At 45.6% G+C, this 27685-nt stretch overlaps 1 protein-coding gene and 1 pseudogene across 23 annotated transcripts in view, besides 2 other annotated features; both read right to left on the minus strand.

The window, feature by feature from the left end:
- Positions 590–27685, minus strand: part of ASAP1 (ArfGAP with SH3 domain, ankyrin repeat and PH domain 1) — a 391571-nt gene continuing 364475 nt past the window's right edge. For all 23 annotated transcript variants that reach the window (XM_047421810.1, XM_047421806.1, XM_017013468.2 and 20 more), the window contains 4 exons: positions 24834–24892; positions 9065–9555; positions 6440–6562; positions 590–3291 (listed from right to left, as the gene is read on the minus strand). In XM_047421810.1, coding sequence (XP_047277766.1) covers positions 3217–3291; positions 6440–6562; positions 9065–9555; positions 24834–24892 — 748 coding nt within the window. In that variant the 3' untranslated portion in view covers positions 590–3216. The remainder of the gene's footprint in view (positions 3292–6439; positions 6563–9064; positions 9556–24833; positions 24893–27685) is intronic.
- Positions 3488–3690: a silencer, noted in NCBI's record as "fragment chr8:131067248-131067450 (GRCh37/hg19 assembly coordinates)". NCBI's record gives its function as "represses an EF-1alpha promoter that drives an FKBP-Casp9 reporter gene in an ReSE screen in K562 erythroleukemia cells {active_cell/tissue: K562}" and the evidence as "EXISTENCE:reporter gene assay evidence [ECO:0000049][PMID:32094911]".
- RNU6-1255P (RNA, U6 small nuclear 1255, pseudogene) lies at positions 18059–18138 on the minus strand (annotated as a pseudogene).
- Positions 18117–18999: an enhancer, noted in NCBI's record as "H3K4me1 hESC enhancer chr8:131081877-131082759 (GRCh37/hg19 assembly coordinates)". NCBI's record gives its function as "activates a minimal SCP1, AML or CMV promoter by ChIP-STARR-seq in primed H9 embryonic stem cells {active_cell/tissue: H9 hESC(primed)}" and the evidence as "EXISTENCE:reporter gene assay evidence [ECO:0000049][PMID:30033119]".

The raw sequence follows: 27685 nt of genomic DNA on the forward strand, positions 1-27685 counted from the left end.
GGTTCTCCATAAAGGAGAGTGTCTTCCAGGCAGTGGGAATTGCAAGGATGGCCTTGGAGCCAGAACCACCTGTGTGCACTCCCACCTTAGTGATTTACAAGCCACATGTCTCCTGTGTGTGAATGAATGCCTCTGAGCCTCATTTGTCAGCTCTGTAAAGCTGAGGGGCTCACGCTTCTCCTGGGCTTGCTAAGGATTCAGGGGTTAATGCAGGCAGAGTGCCTGGGCCAGGTCTGCTCCACTGCGTGGCAGCACTAGTTGTGACAGCTACGTGACAGAAGTGCTGTCCACACGACAACATGTAAGCCTCGTGCCCCTCCACCCTCTTCTTGCCCTGTTCACATCAACGGGCGCACAAGTGGACGTGGTGGAGGTGGAATGCGGAAGGTGGAGGACAGAAAGGGGCCGAAGGCCCACAGTTTGTAAGCCGGGGCAAGTGCCACATATTTTTATGTATCCAGAGTGATCTCTGACAAGGGTTGGAGTGACCTGTGTCATCTATATACCCGAAAGCACAGCCAGAGGAAGCCTTGATTCTCTCCTGTCAGCAGGGTAGTGAACAACTCACAAAATGGCCTGATTTCAGAAGTTTGGGATCAACTGAGAATATGTTTATTTAAAAGCAATTTTAAATATTAAAAAAAGTAGAAATTAACACATACAGTACTGAAAAACTGTCACATTAAACACATGTGAAATGACAAGTGTACTGATGTTTGATGGTAACATCCAGATGAGAATTCGGCATTTAACTAGTGGCACTACAGGATTCCTATACAACATGTTGAAGTTCTAGGCAATAAAAAAATAAATAGCAATTGCTGTTCAACAGTAAAATAAGACACACACTATTTGCAGAACATAACTTTCCCCTCTGGGGGAAAAAGAACTAATTTGCTATTTTTTTTTCATAAGGTTCCATATCTTCAAAATACTATATAATGTACAAAATTGCAGATAGTGGCTTACTGAGTTTAAGATCAAGATCAGACTTAAACTCAACAAGATCACCAAAGGTATTTCTACTGAGTTTTCCTATGTCCCACAGTAAGCTGGGTTAGAGAGAACTCAAATTCCTGATGGAAAACAAAACCGAACAAAAAAACTAGAAAAAAAAGGTGTTAAAAATGCTGTGTAAGTTGCTGCAAAAGGGGAAAAAGAATAGACACTAACTCCATGTAATTTTAGACATGCAGCTTTTGTGTTTTTTTTTTGTTTTTGTTTTTTTTTTTTTTTTGAAAAAAACCAGTTTATTTTGAGATCAGTGAAAAGAGTCTAGGCCACAGAAAAGAACAGCTCTTTAATGCAAGTTAAAATGTGTAAATGAATGACCGGGACACTGAGCAACCTCAGATGCAGACTTCCATCCGGACACTGGTGTGGCTTCAGTACCGAGGCTGCTAAAGCTGCCAGTCACAACCCAGCATGTCAACTGGTTCCTCATGCTCTGTTTGGTGTGGAAATTCACATGTGCCCTGACACTGAGGAAGCAATTGCTTAAAATCACTTTCCAATAACAGCTGATAAAATATTTTGCAGGTTTGTCATGCAAGGTTTATTTATTAGGTGGCTATTCAAAGTTTGTATAGCAACCACTTAAGCAGAACTAAATTAATATTCACTGAGCACTGTAACGATGGAAGAGGGCTTTTCCTAAGGGTTGGGTTGGGAGTTGTGCTTCTGTGAAATTAACATCTCTCACTCATTGCCAAGATTCTCTGCTTAAAAATATTAGTTTTCTGTGCTGTTGCCAAAATAGCAATTTAAGCAAATGTAGTGCCAGAATGACACATGAGCCTCGGACTCAGGGAACAGTTCCACTGACTGTGGAGTACAACTATTGCATTCTTTTCCAAAATTCAGACTGATGTAAAAGACTGAAATACAATGTTCTTAAGGATCTGATAAACATGGCTGGGATGAAAAGAAAACTGAGAGGGAAGAGTGCTTTTCACAGTGCAATTCATAGCAGCGTTCAAAAACTTGGTTATGAATTGACTTGAAGGTGGACAGAGCTTAAGACTGGAAAAATTATCTATAATTGGGGTTTAACAAAGAGCATGGGAAAAGAAACACTTGGTTTCAGCACCTGGATTCTACATACAGTAGGGAAACTGTGTGAAGGGTTGACTTTTAAATTCATCTTGAATAATCTTTTAAAAGTTTAAATTTGTCCAAGAACAAAACTAAGAAAATAATAAAAAATGGATGCAATGGATGCTTCAACACATCTGAGAGATGTGCATTCATAACACAATATGTCAATCCATACTCTTGAGAAAGCCAGTGATTAGAAACAAATATTGTTGCAACCTTATAATTTCTGCTTTAATGGCAATCAAGTTTAAAAAATGTACAATTCCACTTATCCATACTATTCCTTTATAAAAGGCAGATTTCAGGTAAGCTTCTAAATGCATGCGTAATGTAGAGGCTAATATTTTCTGGCAGTCCTTGGTTCCTGAAATTTGAACTTCATATGTGTTTTAAACTTTTGTCAAAATAGTCATGAAAGATATGTTATTTTTGCATAATGAGGTAATATATCAGGGGCGGGCACTCATAAGACAGTATAAATCCACTTGTCTAAACTTGCATGAGGCTGTGTGCATTGTAAAATGCCATAAAGAGTTTTGGGTCAGTGAATATTTTGCTGAAGGAATAACACTTACATTTAACTGAGCACTTTTCTGTAATAAATACCAAAGTAGGTTTTTGTAGCTGTAAACTGTGTACACAGATAACTACAGGCTGGTCTGTCATGGAGCTAAAAGTTTCACCTGGAAAACAGAACCCACCTCTTTGCTAATGTTGCATTTTCAGTAACACAATTGAGAATACTGCATTGTTAGGAACAGAGTCAATTCTATGCCTTTCAACGGTTGCTGGAGACCACTTCTATTTGCAAAGCCAGCAGTTCCTATACTCCTATTTTTGTTTGTTTGCTTGTAGAACAGCATAGAGAGATGTAAGTGCTAGATGCCAAGGATGGCTTTGGCAAACCAGTAAGGCGCGCCGGGTCCGAGGCTACCCTCATACTGGTGAAGGCAGAAAACCACAGGATATTTACAACACACATTATATCCCCCTCCTGAGGTGGCCCTTCCATGAGTTTCTTACTCTGTAACAGCAGCTATATACACACTGTGCCCAGGGTTACATGAAGGCAGCAGTCTTGCATGAAGGATGTGGACAATCTTAAGGTTCTGCGTTTTGCTAGTCAGACAGGATATGAACAAAGGACACTGGAAAGACCCCCTTCCTTTCAGGCTGTCCTTCGATGTGGCCAATCTGCAGGGAGAAAAGAGAGTGGTCAGGATGGAGGCAGCAGGCAGTGGCCCCACGACAAACCCAGTGGGTAAGAGCCCAGCCTAGTCTGCCCACAGACCTGGCGGTGGAATCCCAGGCTTACCCTTCTTCCCACCCTTTAGTGAACTACAGAGAGCTTAACGGTCATAAACTACATAAGGAAAGAGCAAACGACAGAACTTCCAATATGCTCAGCATTCTACATGGATCTTGCTGTACCCACACAGCAACCCCCTGAGGTGGATATTTCTTATACAGTTTACAATCTTCATTTTACAGATGAAGGGACAGTGGCCCAGAGAGGTGACATGCTCTCCCACAGGCGTGGGGCTCTAGAGTCCTTGCTCTGAACCAGGGCGCCTGGCTGCCTTTACAGCTGGGTGACCTCACACAAACCTTGCTAAGCCTTTTCTCTGTTAAGTGGGGCTAAAGAAAATCCCTTCTCTCCAGGCTTGTGTGATACATTTAAAAAAGAAAAAAAAAAAAAAAAGCAAATGAAAAGGCTGCTATGGCACCTGGCCAATCCCAGTACTATTACCTATTCCTAGTTGGGAAGGAAGGGGTTTCTTTGCCCACAGCCCAGGTAGGATGCATACAGACCATTAAGCTGTGTCAGCTGCCTGGCAAGACCCACTGCGGGGTACCATACTCAAATCAAAGCTAATCTTGTTCTGTCTCTTCTCTTTGTGAGTAAAGTGTTGTTCTAGCCAGTAAAAAAAAAAAAAAAAGGCTGCTATGTACTATCACTTGTTTTCTGGTTACCGTGGAGGAAGAATACTGTGAAAGTTTGAGACTGATGGTGGCGAATGGCAATTTTATTGTCTGCTGCATTGGCCTGTAAGCCAGTTACCTGTAAAAATTTTCTAATTACCTCAATTAGATTAGTATTGATTGCACTAAAGAGAATCATGTAATGGGCCTTCAATAGAAAAAACAAAATCGTGCATATTGGCTTCCAATGCCAAATCGATAGAGAGGAAGGTGGTTTTAAGAGTGGAACAGAGTCAACCAGGCCTGCCCAGCTCTCCTGAAGGCTTGCCCACCCACCGCGTGTGGTCTTAGTTGGCATCATGCATGTGTGAGGTCTTTGTGAATTTCACATCACAGTTAGCATGTGTGTGTGGCACCATCTTTACATCTGGCGAGGCACGTAATGGTGGCACACACAATGTCCCCTAGGAATGATGCTAGGGACACCAATGACAGCTTCCCATTCCCCGCAGGTATCTCTGCTGTAGTCATCAGTTGCTTAGCAAAGAACATGATCACTGCTTGATTATAATAATATTAACAGATTACAAAGTGAGTTCCTCAACATCCTTGTGAGAAACGATTAATCATGTCCTATTTTTCAGAGGAAAGTGAGGCTTACAGAAGGGACATGCTTTATCCAAGGCCCATAGAGCTAGTAACTGATTCACGTGGGGGGGCTTCAGAGCCCACCTCCTCGTCATGAGATGAAGTGGACTCTCTGACAGGCTTCATGCCAGGGGCTGGCCCCACTCTGCTGACAGAGGCTGGAGGTACCCCTGGGCCTCCCCAGGCTGATCCCTTCAGTCCAGTTTCTCAACCATGGTGCTACTGGCATCCTTGCTTGTGGGGGCTCCCTGAGTACTGGAGGATGTTTAGTGGCATCCCTGGCCACTAAACTTCCATCTACTAGTTGTTGGTAGCAACCCCCTTCCTAGGTCCTGACAATCAATATTTCCAGATATTGTAAATGTCCCTGGAGGGCAAAATTGCCCCAGTTGAGTCCAAACAAAATCCCTACAGCTGTGATTAAGAATCTGAGGTCACTGTCTAGGCCTGAAGGAAGAAAAGTCAAAGGTGAATGTGTGCCCATGCCTATGTGTGTGTGCACACATGTATATACATATGTATTTCTGGGTATTCTTAGGTACTGCTGGCTCAACTGCGAGCCTCAGGTCCCTTCCTGGCAGACAGAACTGAGTCCCTCTTGGCAGGACGGGGCTCAGGCTGCCAAGGAAGGGGAATTTTCACCCTGATGTCAGGAAATGATCAACAAGGAGAGCAGAAGAGGTGGCTTATTCACTGTACCTTGGCCTGGCAGTTCCCATCGGGAGACTTACTCCCTGGCAACGTGAAAACCAATAGATGTGTGGACTGCCCTCGCAGGTCACTCACAGCCTGGGTACCTAGCAGGGCCTATGAGGATGCTGATGTCTTTCCCTCCTGATGCCTGAGCTGCAGGTTTTAATGTAAAAGGAGTTTTCATAGATATTTTCATTTAATCTTTTCCTAAAATTACGTGGAGAAGGTGTCTTGGCCTATTTGACAAAGAAAGAACTGCAGACTGGATTAAGAATTGAGTCTGAGGACTTGTCAACTGCTCAGCCTGAGCAGGAACTTGGGCATTCTGATTCCCAGCCTGGGGACAGTGTGGAATGGTGAGCAAAGCACATAGGCTCTGGGGTCAGGGCCGATCTGGAATCTTGACTTAGCCTGCTTACTGGCTGAGGGACCACAGGCAACATGCTCAACTTTCTTCCGCTTTAGTATTTATATGAAAAATCAGAAAATGCCTACAACTCACAAGGTTACATGATACCATGGGTAAAGTACATACAAATGTTAATTCTCTTGACCTGTCTTCAAAGCCCCATGGCTGTTTTTCTTTTTTTTCAGATGGAGTCTCGCTCTGTTGCCCAGGCTGGAGTGTAGTGGTGTGATCTCATCTCACTGCAACCTGTGCCTCCCGGGTTCAAGCGATTCTCCTGCCTTGGCCTCCCGAGTAGCTGGGACTACAGGTGCGTGCCACCATGCCCAGTTAATTTTTTGTATTTTTAGTAGACACGGGGTTTCACCATGCTGGCCAGGCTGGTCTCGAACTCCCGACCTCGAGATCCATCCGCCTCAGCCTCCCAAAGTGCTGGGATTACAGGCGTGAGCCACTGTGCCCGGCCAGCTCCACGGCTGTTTTTCTAGCATGTAATAGTGTGTGACATAGAAAAGACACCAAATGCAATGGCTGTTGGGTGAGTGATGCAGCTGACAGGGTCCTTGTGCTCAAGAGCCCTCTTTTACTGCACTGTCTGTAGGCTCCAATGTGGTGCCTGCCCAGGCATGCTGTATGAATGTACGGATGAAGTGGATGGATATTCGTACGTACCCACCACTCCTGGTCCTCTTCCCCTGTGACGATAATCACTTCTCCCTCGATGAATGTGAGCTCGTCATCGTTGTCTGCCTGGCAGTCATAAATGGTCTTCACTCGCCTCACTTTATTTTTCCCCTTAAAGAAAGAAACTGGGTTTTAATTGAAAGAATGGACTGAATGGAAAAAAAGAGCAGCGGTTCTTTGTAAAATGGTTGACCTTGGCCAGTAACTTAACCTCGCTGAGCCTTGATTTCCTCACCCTTGAAGGGCGGGAAGAAGAGTGTCTGTCAGGCACCCAGCATACTGTGTACTCTTAACTACAGGCCCTTCCTCTCCCCCCATCATCAGGGTGGCCCTGCATTGGTGATTGGGCATCATCAAGTTATTTTCACCAGAAAGCAAACACTATGGGTAGGGATCAAAATTGAGCTTCACCAAAAACCATCAAGCACTCTGTACGCACCCCCAACCCACATCAGCTTGCAGAATGACAGCAGAGTCTAAAAATGTTTTTAGGAAACATGATGTAAAGCAAAATCTGCAGCTTCTGCATAATGAATGTGCAGCATAAACAAATTTGTCAGTCCCCTCATGCAAAACAGCAAGTCAGTACATGCTGGTTAAACACAGCAGGATCGGCCTGGGGCTCGGAGAAGTCTATGCAGTTCCTAAAACAGTTTTAATTTTTGATTAGTTTTGATTTGAGCATTTATTTGTTGAACTTCCAGTTCTTTGCAAATAGAAAAGTGAAAATAGAGGTATCACCTTCTAAATGATGGGTTTTTGTTTTGCACCTGGCTAATTGGCAATTTTAAAAAAAGCAAGCTGTCTCTTTAAATGTTTTGGGTGGAGTGCCTCTTCCTCTCTGTCCCCTGGTTTCTCCTTTAATCACCCTGATAGTTCCAGCTGCTTTCCGAGCTCCCTTCTGGGCCGTGCGGGTGGGTTGGAGAAGCCTGGCAGAACTGTGGCAGTGACTGCGTGAGCAACTGAGAGGCCTGTAGTGTGTTAATTTATAACACAGAGATTAAATGACATAATAAAACTATATAGTGTGTAGCATGAAATGAAAATTTTGCATCAGTGGTGCTTGGGAGTCATGGGAGAGTTCCCTTTTGAATAGCAGAAGTATCCACCATCAGACACGGCAGCCTCCAACCTACAGGAAGATGGGTTTTATTTTTCTTAATTTAAGTATTGATATGACACACTTTTACTGCAACATTTAAATTTTTTTTTTTTTTGAGACGGGGTTTCACTCTGTTGCCCAGGCTAGAGTGCAGTGGCATGATTACGCTCACTGCAGCCTCGATCTCCAGGGCTCAAGCAATCTTCCCGCCTTAGCCTCCCAAGTAGCTGGGATCGCAGGCATGTACCACCATGCCCAGCTAATTAATTTTTATTTTTTATAGAGACGGTTTCTCTGTATGTTGCCCAGGCTGGTCATGAATCCTGGGCTCAAGGGAACCTCGCACTTTGGCCTCCCAAAGTGCTGAAATTACAGATGTGAGCCACTGCACCCAGCCCCATTTTAATTTTTTTGAGACAGGGTCTTGCTCTGTTACCCAGGCTGGAGTGTAGTGGTGTGATCACAGCAGCCCTGAACTCCTGGCCTCAAGCGATCCACTCGCCTCTTCCCAAAGTGCTGGGTACTGTAACATTTTATAACAGAATGTGAGGCAGGTAGAGCTGCCATGTGCAATGGGAGAACTTCTGGATATAGAGTAGGAAACATTTCATGAAAATGACAGAATATGAGATTTCTACAAAATTCTATGCTATTCTATTATATCGAGAGCTTTATCTCCAATTCCTTTAGGAAGATGCAGCGAGAAAGTCTGACTTAGCAACTCAGGGAGCCAGGTGCAGTGGCTCACGCCTGTAATCCCAGCACTTTGAGAGGCCAAGATGGGAGGAGTGCTTGAGCCCATGAGTTCAAGACCAGCCTGGGCAACATGGCAAAACCCCATCTCTACCAAAAATATTAAAAAAAAGCCAGGCGTAGTGATATGTACCTTGGTCCCAGCTACTCAGGAGGCTGAGGTAAGAGGATCACCTGAGCCTAGGAGACTGAGGCTGCAGTGAGCTGTGATCGCACCACTGCACTCCAGCCTGGGCGACAGAGCGAGCCCTTCTCAAAAAAAAAAAAAAAAAAAAAAAAAAAAAATAGAGAGAGAGAGAAAATACCCAGAACCCCGAGAGGGAAATTGGTTTCTCGTGACCCTCAGGAAAGGAAAAGTTTCATCCTCAAGGTTCCTAGGTAATAGTGACTACTTGCTCAGTGGTCTAGGTGCCAGCCAAGTGCTGCTCATTTGTCACTGTATTTAATCATCTGTGAGCTCAAATATTGTATTAGCTCCTTTTTGTATGTGAAGAAAGTAAGACTCAGAGAAAGTAACTTGCCAAGGTTGTGCAGTTATGTCAGGCACTGAAGCCAGGTCTTGAAGCCTGTCTGCTGGAGCCTAAAGCCTGGGTTTGTAACCCACAGGCTCTAATCCACCATCATGCTTGAACCAGAGCACATAAGGGTCAGGTGAGCAAGCTCTCACTTTTTCTTGTGTAAGTTGGAGCACCTGCCCTCCCACCAACTTGCAAAGTGCGGAATAGGGTTCCTAAGGGCCTGAACATTGTCCCACCCACCGTATTGATTTTTCTGGGCAGTGGTACGGGCGTCTCTGGCAGAGTAGGCGTGAGGTCGTTGGAGTCTTCAGATGCTTGCTTTTGGATGGCGTCTCTGGACTGCACATTTGGGGATAGATCCAATGGGTGTGACTTCAGTGTGACCTCAGAGGGTTGCTGAGCCTTGGGTGAGACATCTCCAGTCTGGGATTTTGCTAGCAGGTCTCCCAGCTGTGGTTTGGGGGGCAGGTCCTTCATCTGTGGTTTGGGAGGTAAGTCTGAGAGTTGGGGTTTGGGTGGCAGGTCCCCCAGCTGTGGTTTGGGGGGCAGTTCTCCTGGCTTAGGCGGCAAATCTCCAATTTGGGGCTTGGGGGCCAGTTCTGTGGGCTTTGGGGGCAGGTCTCCAGGTGGTGGCTTTTGTGGCAACTCTGCCAACTGTGATGATTTCTGAAAGATTTCGGGCGGGATGGTGGCTTTGTCTAGGGAGAGATGATCTGTTTTCCTTAGTGCCACTGTGGAAGCAATCAAAAACAAGGAGGTCATTGGTGGGAAGGGCTGCTTTCCTGTCAGTCACCTAAAAGAGGCACCATCATCATGAAGGGAACTGACCTATAGTGAGCACTTGAAATGGATGAACTCAGGGGCCAGGCCCACCCAGGCAGTTTTACAAAGACAAAGTTTGAAAGCCTGGAAAGTGTTACAATTCATGATTTTATGCTTCAATTATATAAGAACAGGATGTCTACATTCATCCAGAATTAAAAAAAATAAATAGAAACAGATTGCAGAGAATCGGAAAGTACAGAGTTCTTAAGCCTAACACCTAAATGTAGCCATTTAAAATTCTTTTATATAGTTCCTTTTAATTTTCCTATATATTTTCTATAGATATAACTTTTACTTGCTTTTATCTAATACCATTTTAGCAACAGTATTTGTCATGTTATTAAAAATTATTTACTAGTTGTATGTAATTTTGAATGGTGCATTCTATTCCATTCTATAGCTGTATCATAATTTATTATTATTTCTCCCCATTTTACATGATTCATGCAGTATATAAGCGAGGTAGCAAAAGGCTTCTTCTACTTTGTGCCCCTGTCTCGGGTTAACCTCTGTTACATTTTGGTGATACACACGCGTGTGCTATGTCTTTTAAAAACCATACAAGGGATACATAGTCTGAAACTTTGCTTTTCTCCCACTTACTATGTTTAGGAAAGCTCCAAATCAGTTCTTTTTTATTCTGTTTAATGGCTGCACAGTATGCACAGCTTAGGAAATGTATCAATTTGTTGACCCATTTCCATAGCTCTTTGTACAGCTCTTGGTACTTAGAAAACTATGGACATGTCTCCAATTTTAGCTCCACCACTTACTAGCTGTGTGAATTTGGGCAAATTACACAACCTCTCTATGCTGCAATTTACTGATCTCTTAAAACCCTACTTCAAAGGGTTGGCATGCAGATTACATGGGTTAATATATGCAAAGAATTTACTGACAAGCCCTGGCAGGCTGTAAGCATTATGCAGTAGTACTACCATCACTGTTAGGGTTCTTTAAGGCCCTATTACAGTATTACATTCCTGTTTTACTCATTTTTGTAACTTTGGCTCCTGGCACAAGGGCCAAGGACATAGCCTGCACTCAGGGAGGAAACAGCTGACTAAGGCACACTGAGTGACTCACATTAGGAATTTGATCCTAAAAATATAACGTATTCAGAAAGACATTCTTAAAGAAGGAGAAGAAACAGATAAACCTCATGTTGTAAATGTCACAGGCTGTACTAGGGCTGTTTCTGCTCATGACCTGTCTAGTCATATCTCTAAAAAAGTCAAAATCAAGGGGCACCCTGCTCACAGGCTGGTCCCTAAGCTTCTGCTGAGGTGGCTTGGCTCTAAAAGTTAATTTACATGAATCTCGTTCCTCTCTTGGAAGTCTGAAATTGGCTAAGAAACAATCTGAGCCAGGCAGTCAAGAGGGAAAAAGCTAGGGGGAATCCCTGAGGTGGTGGGGCTAGAAAGGCCTTGGCTGTGAGTCACACTGATGGGGCAAGAGAAACTCTAAGTGCCAGGCATGGAAAACCTTCAAAATACCCCACCCTCTTCACCTGCAGCTCCAATTCTAGGAATTTATCCTAAAACAGTGATCAAAGTCATACACTGAGATGTCTGTGCTAGAGTGTTTGGCACAGTACTGCTTATAACGAAAAAAATGCCACCCATCTGAATGCAGGGGATTGTATGGACAATAAATAAAAATTAGCCAGGTGTGGTGGTACATGCCTGCAGTCCTAGCTACTCGGGAGACTGAGACTGGAGGATTGCTTGAGCCCAGGGTCCAAGGCTACAGTGAACTATGACGGTGCCATTGCACTCCAGCCTGGGTGACAGAGTGAGACTCTGTCTCAATAAACCAACAAACAACAATGATATGTAGCCAATAAAAATTATACTGTTGTATAATTAATAGCATGAAAAATGTTTTTATTATGTGAAAAATATTAGCTTAAACAGAAACTTTAAAGAAGAGCAGAGAAAAAAAAGATGAAAGATATACACTAACTCATCAGTTATCTTGGGTGGTAAGACTTCAGGTAGTTTTTATTTTATTTTTCTTTTTAGTTCTATTGAGACAGGGTCTCCCTCTGTTACTGAGGCTGGAGTGCAGTGGTGCAATCAGGGCTCACTGCAACCTTGACCTCCCAGGCTCCAAATGATCTTCCTGTCTCAGCCTCCTGAGTAGCTAGGACCACAGGTATGTACCACCGCACTCAGCTAATTTTTAATTTTTTAGTAGAGACGTGCAGGGCCATGCTGTCCCCAGCTTCAGGTATTTAGACCCTGTTCCACATCCTCTCTCCGCACTCCTGGCTTTGGTGTGACAATGTGACTGTTGGCACCAGTCTGAGACCCTTGAGGGGAAGAGGCAAGGCTGGCCAGGGCCTCAGGGTACACTGGCCCAGGTGACTCAACTCTGGGCAGGAGAGAGATGGGACTACAGGGCAGGGAAAGAGAGGAGACTGGCCTTCTTGAGACCTGCTGCATGACGTAGCTTCATCTTCCTAAGAGCCCCGCGATGTGGATATCACCATCATCCCCATCTTCCAAGATACCGAGGGAGGCCGTGGAGCCTCCCACATCACAAAGTGAGTAAGAAGAGATGGTCGATTCCTAGCCCAAGGATAGTTCAGACTTACAGGAAAAGGGTTACCATTCCACCCCTATTTGCTGGGCATGTGCCGTGCCCAGCACCCTTTCAGGCACTTGGGACACAGCTGATGGAAAGAACTAGGGCCCTGCCTGCTGGGAGCTCACATTCCACGAGAGGGTGACAAGTAAACATGGAGTTACCAGAGGGTGAGGGCAGGTAAGCAGGGGAAGGGAGAAAAGAGTGCTGGCTGGGTGGGGAGGAGGAGAGTGACCACCAAGGAGGGTGTGGTCAGGGAAGGCCACTCTGATATGGCAAGAGTGCGTCAAAAATGTGCAGGAGGCTTGGACACCAGCCATGCTGATATCTGGTGGGGGTTGCGAGAAGAACCACCAGATGGTTCAGGACAGAGGAGTGACATGATTGAATGTGGAAGGCTCCAGTGTTCTGTTGAGAACAGACTGCAGGACCAGGTTAGAAGGCTCCAGGCAGACAGGGTAGGAGGCTCCAACTGTCCAGACAAGAGATGATGCTCATTTGATCCTAGCTGACAACGGTGGAGATGATGAGAAGTGACTGGGTTTTAAATAGATGTGGAAGGGGGAAGAAACAGTATTTGTACAAGCACAGGATGTGGTGTGTGAGAGAAACGGAAGAGCTAAGCACCTCTCTCAGGCTTTAAGGCCTGAACACCTGGAAGAATGACACTGCCTTTAACAGACGGGGACACTGAGGAAGGAACAGTCTGGAATGGAGCCGGAGTCCGTATTCCAGTTTTAAGTAGAGAAGCCTGTCAGACACTGTGTGGGGAAAACTTGCTCCTCTAACCGTGCTTTTCCCTCTACTCTCACACCACAACAATCATCAACACAGAAGAAAACTTCTGTGACCAAATGTGTGGGGGTCTCACCCCACCACCAAGCAGCGGATACCAGCCAGGTGTCTTCCAATCCAATTCTGACACCATCTACCTGGAGACAGCGTTAGATCCCACAGCTTGAGGCTCAGTCCCCCAGAATGTTCCCACCTTCCTGTCCAGTCGCAAGCCCAGGCCTCTGGAATTTCTGACCAGTTGGCTTCAACTGGGGTTCCAACAATCCCCTCTGGGTTTGACTGATTTGCTAGAGTGGTTCACAGAACTCAAAGAAACACTTACCTAAGTTTATCAGTTTACTAAGAATGTGTGTGTGTGTGTGTGTGTGTGTGTGTGTGTGTGTGTGTAAGAATCACAGCTCACTGCAGTCTCGGTCTCCCAGGCTCAAGCTATCCTCCCACCTCAGCTTCCCAAGCAGCTAGGACTACAGGCCTGTGTCACCATGCCCAGCTATTTTTGTTTTTATTATTATCTGTAGACACAAGGTCTCATTATGTTACCCGGCTGGTCTCCACTCCTGGGCTCAAGTGATCTACCCACCTTAGCCTCCCTAAGCGCTGGGATTACAGGTCTGAGCCTTCTCAGGGCCACAGCTCCTGGCTCTAAGAAGGATATTTTAAAGGATAAACAGCCAGATGAACAGACACACAGGGCGGGGTCTGGAAGGGTCCTGAGCACAGGAGCTTCTGAACCTGAGGAGTTGGGGGTGTGTCGCCCTCCCGGCACGTGAGCGAGTTCTTCTTCACTTTCCTGTTGGCCTCCACGGGTTTAGCTTTCTAGAAGCTCCTTGAACCCAGTCCTCTAGGGTTTTTAATGGCAGCTTCATGACGTCAGCATTCCTTCCCCCAGGGTATAGGGTAGGATCTCAAACCCACAAGATGGGAAAAGATTAGAGTCCTGCCTTGGGGTACATAAAGGAGGGCAGGAGAGATTCTGTTTCCTGAGGCCTAACACATCCAGCATTACAACCAGACTGTAACAAGGGATGTGGACACTATAAACCAGGAACTGTGGACGGATACCAATACATATATATCTACAGCTCCATAGGCCATTCCTTGGTTTTCAATCACAGATCCCTTATACCAAAACAAATGTATCTATCAGAACATTTGTTGTAGCATTTATAAAACAGTTACAGCAATGCCGCCACCTAAAATCTGGAGAAGCCAGTGTGGGTAGGGATGAATTTAAAGAAATGACTAATTTGTCCTATGAAGTCACACAAACACTTTCATAATCGTGTACTAGCCTCACTGTTCTTTCCTGCCTTGGTCTACCGCTATTGGACCTTAGGATAAACTTGTGCAGAGCTGTTTCGCACAGAGATCAGCTGATGGTTAGCTAGATCCAGTTCCTTCTTGGGCCGTTTTCCACAGGCATTCCATCCTGAGGGAGCTTCAACTCAACCTCCCAATACATCTGATCGTATCAGTATTATCATAAAGCTTATTTACATGAGGAAGCTGAACCTTACCAATGCCCCCAGTATTACACCATATTGTGATACAATCGTGGTACAATTTAGCTTCATTATAGATTAGTAAGAATGACAGAGGTATTTCCTTTGCCTTCCCAATAAAATCTCCCCTTGCCCATATACCAAATGTTATTAAGGACAGGTGTTGTTACAATGGCCATGACTCAGTCATTTCTGGATTTGAAATTAATTAGGGGCAGAGCCAATCACCCTGTCTCATCTCACAGGCTTGTACTGCTGGTTTCCACTGGGTGCTATCAGTTATAGCACAGCCCACCTGCCTCCTGCAGACAGTACATGGGTGGTGTTAATTTTACTAATTAAATAGAGACAGGGTCTCACTTCATTGCCCAGGCTGGTCTTGAACTCCTGGGCTCAAGTGATCCTCCCGCTTCAGCCTCCCAAAGTGCTAGGATTAAAGGCTTGAGCCACAATACCTGGCCTATTTCTTTCTTTTCTTTCTTCCTTTCCTTCCCTTTCTTTTCTTTCTCATTCTTTCTTTCTTTTTTCTTTCTTTCTTCTCTCTCTCTCCTTCCTTCCTTGTTTCTTTTTCTTTCATTCATTCATTCATTCATTCATTTGATGGGTGTTTAGAATAGTTCCTATACCTACCAACTACACTGCAGAACATGTTTTACTTTGCCCTAACCTAAAGGCATGGGCAGTCATAGCACATTGATGTAAACTGCAAGTGCCCTCAGAGAACTTCCGTAAATTCAGAGGGCCATAAGAGTCCCACAGGTGTGCCCTGAGCCTCAGCAGCCAAGACTGAGGGCCACTGCCCCCCATTTCAGCCTCTATTTGTATTAAAATTGTGAAGAGGCCCTGTTGGGTCTGGGTACAGGCCCTTTCCCAAAGCTGCATCTTAGCATTCTCTTCAGCACTGTTTATTGAGTTGGCCTGGCTCACTCTGCCAAAGCCTCCTTATCTTTCCAAGCTGACTCCCATCCTTTTGCCTTCCTCCTGGAAGAGAACTCCCTCTAATCTGCATTTTCCTCTGAATTCTGCTGCTCATTGAAAGCAAACTCAACTTATCCCAGGATACCCAGACCTGCACCTATCTCCTATAAGGCCCTTTTCTGTCTGGTGGGTCAGTGTTGTTTCATCCAACATGCATGTTGCTGCAGTGTGTAGTAAAGGCCTGAGTACAGTTAGGATATATGTTTTGCACCCAGAAATGTTGGGTGACCCATACTAGAGTTAGATGAGTGGTGGTCACATCTACATGTAGTTTAGTGTGAGTGTGCCACAAGGCCTCCTACAGCTTTCCTTGTCTCAGGGTGGGACCATTCCCTAAAGGAACTCAGATCCACTATGTGATGCCCACTATTTTACTGATTGATTGATTGACAGGGTCTCACTCTGTCACCTAGGCTGGAGTGCAGTGGTGCAAACATGGCTCACTACTACCTCGACCTCTTGGGTCCAAGAGATCCTCCAGCCTCAACTTCCTGTATAGCTGGGACCACAGGTGCGGACCACCACACTCTGCTAATTTTTCAAATTTCTGTAGAGACAAGGTCTCATCTCATCATGTTGCCCAGGCTGGTCTCAAACTTCTGGACTCAGGTGATCCTCCAGCTTGGGCCTCCCAAAGTGCTTGGATTACAGGTGTGAGCCACCGTGCCCAGCCCCACTGCTTTAATCCCATTAAGAACCCAGTGTTTTCCTGTATTCTGCTTAATAGCTTTTCATCCACAAAAGGAACGGTGATAAAAGTGTACATAGCACACTGCGGCATGTTGTGTATGCTGCCATTACATTTTGTCCTTTACACCCAAAGATCTTTCAAAGCATCTGATCATCAAGGTTTATATTAATAGCGACATAAAAATCAGTCTGCTGGGAGCCGTACACCACACATTTGGTATCAGCGAAGCAGGATTTGTTGGAACAGCTCTGACTCACAGAAACATGTGGTTTGAGAAGAGAAAGGATAAAAGGGTGGGGGATCAGGAATCTTTGGATTCCTATGTGGCCATGTGGTCACCCAGGGTATGAAGCCACAGCTGTGCTGAGATCAGTTACTAAAGGTAAAAGTTACCAGTGGAATTCAGAGATGGATCCAACTCCCCAGGAGTTGGGGCACTGGATGCATAAAGAAATGCAAACTAAGAAAAAAGTGAAATATTTAATCCCTGGTTATTGTTGTCTATAATGGCTAAAATAAAAGAGGGTGCTGGGTCAGGACTTGAGGCTGGACTAAGCTCAGATGTGGGTCTGCCTGAGCTTAGTCCACTAGCCTTAAAGTTACCCACAAAGGAGAAAATTACGCAGGGACAACAGAAAGTACCTCTGAGACTTGTGGTTACCAAGAAGGTAGTCAATGTGAAGGAGGGGCAAAACTAAGTAACTATGGAAACTAGAGGGTATAGTGCGAAAGAACTGTTTCATTCTGTAGATCAGTATCATCAGCTTCCTGAGGAACCTTTACTAAAACGCACTGTAAGAGTGACTAATTTAGGGGCAGTATCTTTGGTTTTAAACACTACAGAGTAGAAGTACATGTTTGGATTGATGGGACCCACAGCTCACTATTGAACAACTGCATATGGGTATATATGATCCAGACACACAGGAGGCTATTCCTGCGGTAACTGGCAGCTTGGTGGAACAGATAAAAGCCACTGTAAGGTCTGTTCACCCTGAGAAGGGGGACTGTCCAACTCTACCTACAAATGTCAAGTGGGACACCCCAGATGCAGTAGCTGATATGCTCTGTATGCATGTGGGACTGGCTTTATGATGACAGGGCTATTCACACGCTGAACATGCCTGTTACCCAAGTCATGGTAAATGTGTGGTTAAGAGGGCCCCTTCTACATGGGCACCCCATGTGATATTACTCCTACAGAAATGAACAGTTCAAGAAGCCTTATTAAATTTGCTGTCTCAGCTTCCCTTCATGGGTCTTATAGATGCTAATAAAAATATTAGGTTAATTAACAAGAGAACAGGGAAAGGCAAAAGTGAGAGCCAAAGGACTCCTCCCAGGAAGGTGGAAATTTTAAAATGGTTATTAACAAATAAGGTGAAGAAAACACTGATAGGATAAAACTAAGAAGAAAAAGAAAGGGGAGAGTCATGGGACTCATCCCAGCAGGGTAGAAATCTTTAGATGGTTATTAAGAAATGGAATGAATAAAATGGAAATTGATACAGTTAAAACAAAGGTCTTTGTTTTTTGAGGCAGGGTCTTGCTCTGTCACCCAGGCTGGAGTGCAGTGGCGTGATCTTAGCTCATTGCAATCTCTGCCTCCCAGGCTCATGCAATCCTCCCACTTCGGCCTCCTGAGTAGCTGGGACTACAGGCATGTGGCACCACGCCTGGCTAATTTTGTGTATTTTATGTAGAGACAGGGTTCTGCCATGCTGCCCAGGCTGGTCTCAAACTCCTGAGCTCAAACAATCCACTCGCCTTAGCCTCCCAAAGTGCTGGGATTACAGGCATGAGCCACTGCGCTTACCAAAACAAAGGTCTTTTTTTGCTGTTGTTAAAAAATAACGTGTCATTCATGAGCAGGGGCCATGCTAATCTTCTCTGTATGGTTCCAATTTTAGCATATGTGCTGCCGAAGTGAGCACAACAAAGATCTTAATACAACATTATCGAAGCTTGGGTGGACCAAACCCCTCCGCTCTCCCAACATTAAACGGCCCTAACCCAGTTTACTGTATTTCTTGCAGTTTGAAGAAATTTTAAAAGTTGCAAGGTAGAGATTACAATGAAACATATGATATGAAATTGCCTGGGGCAAAAATGGGGCAGACTAATCAAAATAAAGATTGACAAAAGGTCCAGGGTCCTTTGGCTCAACCCTTGGCAGAAGACCCAAAGCTTTTTGCGCAAGAGAGAGTAAAATGGTCTGGGGGTGAAGAAGTTCCTGAAACTAGAATATAAAAATGTAAGGGTTGATAGGATGATGAAAGTTGGTATATTTGAACACACTTCATGTGAATTGACTGCATCTCTTTTTTTTTGTTTTTGAGACGGAGTCTCACTCTGTCGCCCAGGCTGGAGTGCAGTGGCGCAATCTCGGCTCACTGCAAGCTCCGCCTCCCGGGTTCACGCCATTCTCCTGCCTCAGCCTCCTGAGTAGCTGGGACTACAGGCGCCCGTCACCATGCCCGGCTAATTTTTTCTATTTTTTAGTAGAGACGGGGTTTCACCGTGTTAGCCAGGATGGTCTCCATCTCCTGACCTCCTGATCTGCCCACCTTGGCCTCTCAAAGTGCTGGGATTACAGGCGTGAGCCACCGTGCCCGGCCGACTGCATCTCTTTTATTTGATTGTATCATGGTAATGAACACAGTATCACACTGGAGAATGTTTCCCCTACCTGGTACTATAAAACAGAAGGCATGTAAATCTGCTCTCCAATATTAATTGGACATGCCCAAGCCTGCAGAGTGCAGAGTAGAAGCTAGAGTGCTGGCAGGGACAAACTCTCCACTTGATAACCCCCTGTGGAGCAGTTCCTGGGGCTTATGGCAAAAGTGTTTTGAGCACCTCCCAGCAACAACTACTGGGACTTTGGAATAGAGAATTTCCACTTAAGGGACCTTGCTATGAAATGTTAGTTGAAGTTACCCCTATGACATCTGAAATACCCATGCTGTCTCAGGTGATGTCCAAGAACATTCTAATGGGGAAGGCAGTGCCTAGAAGAGTTCCACAATAAAATGGAAATGGTTTATAGAGGATCATGCTACCTGAGGAACTCAAGGAGGAGATACTCCTTGAGGGGAGAGAGGGAGAGAGGGAGAGAGAGGGAGAGAGGGAGAGAGAGGGAGAGAGGGAGAGAGAGGGAGAGAGGGAGAGAGGGAGAGAGGGAGGGAGAGAGAGGGGGAGAGAGAGGGGGAGAGAGAGGGGGAGAGAGAGGGGTAGAGAGAGGGGGAGAGAGAGGGGGAGGGGGGGAGAGAGAGAGAGAGAGGGGAGGGGGGGAGAGAGAGAGAGAGAGAGAGAGAGAGAGAGAGAGAAAGCAGAGTTTCCCCAAATCATCTAAGAAAAAAAAGTATTTTTTCTCCCCTACCCGATGCAGTGATCCTAGGACAGGAGTTGCTGGGACAGCAAAGATGATTTTTGTTTTTTAGCTATGGGGTCTCACTGTATTGCCTGGGTTGGTCTCCAACTCCTGACTTCAATCCATCCTCCCATCCTTCCACAGAGCTTAGATTATAGGTATGAGCCACTGCGCCCAACACTTCAAAAAATTTTTAGCAGGAATGCTAAGTAAAAAACTGTAACCATGTTTTTAAATATTATGTCAAAATTCCTGAGGGCATCATGGGGGTGAGATGTGCCTTCACCCCTTCTAACAAAATTGGGGCTAACAGTGAATATGGCCGGTGGTAAAAATAGCTCATTGGTTCTGCATCTATGTAGCCTCACCCTATCTGAATGGGAGTGGACTGAGGAGCTACTTGCTAGACTTGTATTGCTGCTTGTAATCTAGACCAGCACAGTGGTGATTCTAATGTCCCTTCAAAAAAGTTTGGAGATTAATGGAGAGAAGGAGAAATAGTAGCTGAGAGTAAACAAATAAATGGGCAAATGAGACAACTCAAAAGAGTCTCAGGGCAAGAGATGACACTGCCTCTTAGCTCAATGATTCCACATGCCTGAGAGGGTGAAGCTGTGTATTTACCCAGACCACTCCTGCTTGTGGAACCTGACAATATTGAGAGGAAACCTGCAAACCTGAGTGTCCTCATCATCCTGGGAGACATTCATACACTATGATGGACTGGACTAATTATTAATGATTGTGTATATATATGTTTTTTGATATAAAGGATCCACAGTAGAAAACCAGGGAGTAGGCTGTGGTGCTATGATATGTATTAGTTTTCGTCCACAGTTGCTGGCTTATAACCCTTGTTATAGTCATCTGTTATTATGTTAGGTGTGTCAGGCCTCTGAGGCAGGCCCCTGACCTTCTCTTGCCCTCTTATTACCTATCCCAAGGCAGGACTCTATTCCGATTGTGGGTCTTAAAACACCTTCCATGAGAGGGTCCTACCCTATACCCTGGGGGAAGGAATGCTGACATCATGAAGCTTTCATAAAAAGCCAAGAGGACAGGGTTCAGTGAGCCTCTGGAGAGCTGACCATGTGGAGGCTCCTGGAGTTTCCAGAAAGGGCTTGGAAGCTCTGCACCTGATATAGCTTGGCTGTGTCCCCACCCAAATTTCACCTTGAATTGTAGCCCCCATAATTTCTACATGTTGTGGGAGGGATCTGATGGGAGATAATTGAATCATGGGGGCAGTTCCCCCCATACTGTTCTCATGGTAGTGAATAAGTCTCATGAAATCTGATGGTTTTATAAGGGGTTTCCCCTTTTGCTTGGCTCTCATTTTTCTCTTGCCTGCTGCCATGTAAGACGTGCCTTTCGCCTTCTGCCATGATTGCGAGGCCTCCCCTGCCACATGGAACTGTGAGTCCATTAAACTTCTTTTTCTTTATAAATTACCCAGTCTCAGGTATGTCTTTATCAGCAGCGTGAAAACGGACTAATACAGCACCCCTTCCCCCATACTTCTCTCTACACATTTCTTTATCTGTATCCTTTGCAGTATCCTTTATGATAAACTGGTAAATGTGTTTCCCTGAGTTCTGTGAGCTGCTACAGCAAATTAAATGAATCCAAAGAGGGAGTTGTAGGAGCCCCACCTTGTAGCCAGTCAGTCAGAAGTTCTGAAGGCCTGGACTTGCAATTGATATGTGTGTGTGTGTGTGTGTGTGTGTGTGTGTGCGCGCGGGGGGGGGCAGTTTTGGGGACTGAGCTCTCACCCGGTGGGACTGGCACTATCTTCAGGTAGACAGTGTCGGAACTGAATTCGAGGACACCCAACTGGTGTCTGCTGCTTGGTGTGTGGGGAAAAATCCCCACACGTTTGTCACAGAAATCTTCTTCTGTGTTGATGATTGTTGTGATGTGAGAGCAGAGGAAAAACACAGTTAGAGAATTATCCCCCACAGGCATCAAGTGGCGATGTGAAATAGGCTGTTGTTGGTGAATTCGGATTATGGACGAATACTTTGGTAGGAGATAGAAATGTGGAGCTTTCCACATTGGGAGGCTGAGGCGGGGGGATCACCTGAGGTCAGGAGTTCAAGACCAGCCTGACCAACACGGAGAAACCCCTGTCTCTACTAAAAATACAAAATTTGATGGGCGTGGTGGTACATGCCTGTAATCCCAGCTACTTGGGAGGCCGAGGCAGGAGAATCGCTTGAACCTGGGAGGCGGAGGTTGCGGGGAGCTGAGATCGCACCATTGCACTCCAGCCTGGGCAACAAGAGTGAAACTCCGTCTCAAAAAAAAAAAAAAACAAATACAAATGTGGAGCTTTCCAGATGGGTGTAAAGCTGTGGGACTGTTTGGATGAGTTAAGGAGTAAGGGAAGATGCAGAACAGAAGCAGTCCATGACCACGGCCTGTGGTGCTCAACATGCTGAGGTGGAGGAGACGAGAAAGCAGTTAAGGGGGTCGGGAAGGAACTGACAGTGCAGCGAGAGTGGACAGGTAGTGTCCAGAACACAAGTACATAGCGTTCCAGGCAGGGGAGAAGCAGTGACTGTGCCAAGAGCTGCAGACGGCCAAGGAAGACAGGGCTGAAGCTTAACCGCTGGCCCATCGGCTTGCAGAGGGATGGAAAGAGAGGATGGATGGATCAATCTTGGCTCTGAGCATTAACAGCTGTGAACTTCACACACAGAGACAATGCGATGGTGTACACCTCGTGATAGAACACACTACCACCTATGAAGTGGTTTTGCCAAAGCCTCAATCTATCTGATCAGGTTTCTGGAATCAACTTCCAATTAATAGGAAATATGACAGGCAGGGGAACACGTTAGATGAACAAACACGAGGGGATGGAATCTAGACTGGAGAAATCTATAGAACGAATAACACAGTTTCTTCAACAAATAAAAAGAGAGATGCAGGGGAAACTTTAGCCTAAGACACTTAGAGACAAATCAATCAACTCTACTGTGTGGACTTTATTTTAATCCTTATTCAAACAAACAAGTTCTTAAAAAAAAAAAGGGGGCAATTGTGAGACAGCTGGATATGTTAACACTGGGTATTTGATGATATTAAGAAATTTTTGATTTTTTAGACATGATGAATTTTTTGATGTAGTAATAGAATTGCGTATGTATGAAATTGGCTGGGATTCGCTACAGAATTACTGAGAGTGGCTGGGCAGGGAACTAGATGAAAGAAGATCAGGTATAAACTGTTAAGTGCTGGAATGGGTGATAAGTATGTGGGTGTGGTGGAGGAGGCTGCAGGATACTATTCTGTGTCTTTTTTTGTATTTCTGTATATGTTTATTACGGAAAATTCCAAATAGTAAACACACACACACACACACACACACACACACACACACACACACACACAGAGAGAACGAGAGTAGAGCAACGGGGTGGTGGTAGGAGGGACACAGGTCTTCATGGGTATTGACAGTAGGCCTGCCCTGATAGGGCAAGTCAGATGGAAGGAAACAGCAATGCAAAAGATGGAGGGACACCTGCTGGAGTCTGTCCCCGAGGGGGTGGGAGGGTACAAGGTCTACCTTAGGACCACGGCCACCATGCCAGGCAGGTGGTAGTAGGGGTGGACTCCTGTGCTGACTCAATGAGGAACAGAAACAAGGTGCTCCTAAGGAGAGGAGAGACAGTGTAGGGGAGTGGGCTGAAAGGTTGCGGTGCTGGGACTGCTGGGCAGCCCCAGATGACCATGTGAGGTCAGCAGTCATAGGGAGAGCCAGACTGCCACACTGACTGTGCCTCTCAGAAGTCAGTTGAGTGGCAGAACCCAGCACAGGAGGGGCAGGAGCTGAGGGAGCACATCAGGGAGTGACTTTGGTGATGGGCTGACGCCATGCTGCGAGGGAAGGGAGGGCATGGAGGGGATGGGTGCAGGGAAGAGCTGGCGGCAGTTGCGGTAAAGCCCCATGGGCACTGGGAAGTGCTGGGGTCTGCTGCTAGAGAAAGCAGGCTGGAGAGGTAGGGTGATATGTGAGCGATCTAGGACGGAATCTGGGCACACTGTAAATGGGGATACATGCCTGGGAAACTTGTTTCAAACTCTTCTGAGATCAAAACAGCCCGTTGGGCAGAGTTTAAAAATAAAAGACAACAAAAACCAACCCTAGATAAAGACTCAGCAAACCCAGGGGAAGTCTTGCATCTGTTCTACGGAAAGTGAATCAGCAGTCATTTGGGAGTCCCCTCATCTTACTACACAGGAGCCTGGCCTGACCAGTCAGTGCTCTTCAAAGTGTGTTACTTCACTGAAGAACTCTAGAGAGTGGTGAATTTCAGCTTCCCAATACTAACCCCCAGTTTGACTTCTGCTCAAACTAGGCAACGGAGCACTAGACTGGGGTCACAAATCTTGCTGCTGGCACTGAAAATCCAAGGAGCAGGCCCTGAGCTCCTCGGAGCTTCCGTCTGTATCCAAGGTGGGCCCTGCTGGCCTTGCAGGCTTATAGAAGGATGGAATGATCTAGATGCTCCTAAAGGTATTTTGCAGCTTTAAAGGTAAGGTATGGTAACAACAACGACAACAAAAAAGGCATAACTATCACTTGTGTTGTAATAAGAAGACTGAAATTTTGGTTTCACAAATGAAAACCTTGTCAGCATTAAAGAAGACTCAGTCAAAGAGCTGAGTGTCTTAGCTTGGCAAAAAAACAGTATTTATAGACACTGCTTTCTTGTACTTTGCAGAGCATGGGTATCTCTACTCTGCACAACAGATGCCATCCTAGGGAAGGATTCCTTTGCCACCCACTTGCTGGGGACTTTCTGAAACATGACTTCATTTTGTCCTTACAAAACCTCACGAAGTATTATTTTCCCCATTTTACAGATGAGGAATCTCAGGTTTAGTGAAGCTACTACGTCACCTGCCCAAGGCCACACAGCTACTAAGTGGTAGAGCTGGTGTTGGTTCCCAAGTCTCTCTGATTATGTTTATAAGGGGAGAAAGAATGGTTCCTGGGGATTATAATAATGTAATGTCTACAAAATTATTATGTATTCTGGAAAAGTATGGTGCTTTGCTAATCACCAAATTTGAGTTTATAAATACCTTTCGTCATTTAATGTGTATTTACTAGGCATCCACTACATGCCAGGTGCTGCTCTAGGCATTTGGGATGGATCAATGAACAAGGGAGATAAAAACCTTGGGCCCCTTGGAGGGGGTAGTGACACTTTAATTACATGTAAATGTAAAAATGATAGATCTTACCTTTCTGAGGTAGTTTAGGAAGAACTCTTGGGCCAAGGGCAGTCTTTGCAGAACTGGTGCTAATCAACAAATAAGAATCATTTAGGATCTAAAAGTGCTAGAATATCAATAGCAAAATATTATTCAAGTAAATCAAATCAAAGGTATTTACATAATCATCTAAAGAATGCTTTCAAAATTTCCTTTTTTTTTGAGATGGAGTCTCCCTCTGTTGCCCAGGCTGGAGTGTAGTGGCGCGATCTCTGCTCACTGCAACCTCGGCCTCCTGGGTTCAAGCAATTCCCTGCCTCAGCCTCCTGAGTAGCTGGGATTACAGGTGCCCACCACCACACCCGGCTAATTTTTGTATTTTTAGTAGAAATGGGGTTTCACCATCTTGGCCAAGCTGGTCTTGTACTCCTGAGCTCGTGGATCCACCCACCTCAGCCTTCCAAAGTGCTGGGATTACAGGCATGAGCCACTGTGCCCAGCCTCAAAATGTCTTTAACAAAAGATTAGTCTATTTTCCATATTTCAGTTTGCCTGGCTGAGGAGGCACAGTAAAAGGATGAAAAAAAAGTCCCTCTTAATGATAAAGCCCAACTCCTCCACTTCAAAGCATTTATGAAGGCACCTGGCACACTCTAAGTGGTGACCCCAATGTAGTGCACAGAAGTAACTCTTCCCACATGATCCCACAAAGCAGCTCTGTGTTTCCAGACAAGGAAATGGAAGGGAATGGGGGTGTTGGCGGCTGGCAGAAGGTCTCACGTGGGTCAGAGGTAGAAGTGGAAATTCGGCCCTAGCTCCCCTGGGCCTCCAGAGCCCTCACTTCCTCCACTATAGCAAAGAGCTTGGTTCTCGGGCCTCCAGGCTCTCCTAGGCCTTGCTTTCCTTTTGGAGGACAGGTAAATGAGGGTGACAAAGGCCCAAGTCCCTGGAATACAGGTCCATACCACATTGTCTAAATCATCAAACGTTAACCTCTGCAACTGAAACCCCAGTGCCATCAGTGGTCTACATTAGGTGGAAGCCACTATTTTTCTTTAACAAGAGGTTTTGGCGATTCTCAGAGGACACCAGGAGGCCTGCATGCCTGAGAAGCAGCAGTAGCCAAGTGCCTGAGCCCCATCTGCCAAGAACCCCTTTATTATCTCATCTCTCCATTTCTGTCCCCTGATGTCCTAAGAGTTGGTTGCTGCTGCTGCTGCTTTTTTTTTTTTTTTTTTTTTTTTTTTGAGACACAGTCTTGCTCTGTCACCAGGCTGGAGTGCAGTGGCACGATCTCAGCTCACTGCAACCTCTGCTTCCCGGGATCAAGCGATTCTTGTGCCTCAGCTAACTGCATTTAAAAGAAAAGAAAAAGCCAAACCAACCAACAAAACAAAAAGTAGTCAAAGAGAGAAGATGAAAGGTGTGTGCTCCTTTCTGTCCTGGCTCTTGGCCATCCTTGATCTTCACTGCTCTTTCCTCAGCTCACTTGAAATCCTCCTGTCTCTGGGCAACGGGGGAATATTGCTGAGATAAAGCCACCACTAAACAAGAAACAGTAAACATGAGAGGGCTTTGTTTCTCTTGAAAGAGACTCCATCTCAAAAGCAAACAAACAAACTTAACGAGTTGCCAAAGGCTCTAGTTCACAATCAGCTTGATTTTGTTTAAAAACTTTTTTTTTTTTTTTTTGAGACGAAGTCTCGCTGTCACCTAGGCTGGAGTGCAGTGGCGTGATCTCGGTTCACTGCAACCTCCACTTCCCAGGTTCAAGTGATTCTCCTGCCTTAGCCTCCTGAGTAGCTGGGACTACAGGCGCACCCCACTATGCCCGGCTAATTTTTGTATTTTTCGTACAGACGGGGTTTCACCATGTTGGCCAGGCTGGTCCTGAACTCCTGACCTCAAGTGATCCACCTGCCTTGGCCTCCCAAAGTGCTGGGATTGGTTCTCCCAAAGTGGCGAGAGCCACTGTGCCCTGCCAAAACTTTTTTTTTGAGACAGGGTCTTGCTGTCGCCCCGGATGGAGTGCAGAGGTGCGATCATGACTCACTGCAGCCTCAATTTCCTGGGCTCAGGCGGTCCTCTTGCCTCAGCCTCCCGTATAGCCAGGTATGTACCACCATACCCGGCTGATTTTTTTTATTTTTAGGAAGCAAGGTCTTGCTATGTTGCCCAGGCTGGCCTCAAACTTCGGGGCTCAAGCAATCCTCACACCTTGGCCTCCCAAAGTGCTGGGATTACAGGTGAGCCACTGTGTCCAGCCTTTAAAAACCTTTTATGAGTGCTTTTGGAGTGTCAGATATTCTCCTCACTCTGGAAAAAGAACACCAGAACTTTAGTTTTACAGGGTCCCCCAAATTAGGGTTGAAGGAAGGTGAGTGAGGAATGAAAGGCAGGGCACAAGGGCAAGGAAGGGGTGTGGAATGTGGAGTTGGGAGAACAAGTAGGCTGGAGAGCTGGCTCTGACATCTGCACCCACCACCTAACCACTCTGGGCCTCGCTCTCCTCACCTGCAAAACTGAGGATAATAGTAATTGGGCCTATCTCACAGGGTTATAAAGAGTACATAAGATAGTGGTATTAAAAAAAAGGCTGGATATGGTGGCTCCCACTTGTAATCCTAGCACTTTGGGAGGCTGAAGCAGGAGGATTGCTTGAGCCCAGAAGTTCAAGACCAGCTTGGGCAACATGCTGAGGCCTTGTCTCTACAAAAAAATAAAAAAATCAGCTGAGTACAGTGATGCATGCCTCTGGTTCCAGCTACTCGGGAGGCTGAGGCAGGACCATCTCTTGAGCCCAGGAGGTTGAGGCTACAGTGAGCTGTGCTCATACCACTGCACTCCAGTCTGGGTGACAGAGAAAGGCCCTATCTCAAAAA

Source organism: Homo sapiens, chromosome 8 (assembly GCF_000001405.40).
Source record: "Homo sapiens chromosome 8, GRCh38.p14 Primary Assembly".
Taxonomy (NCBI): Eukaryota; Metazoa; Chordata; class Mammalia; order Primates; family Hominidae; genus Homo; species Homo sapiens.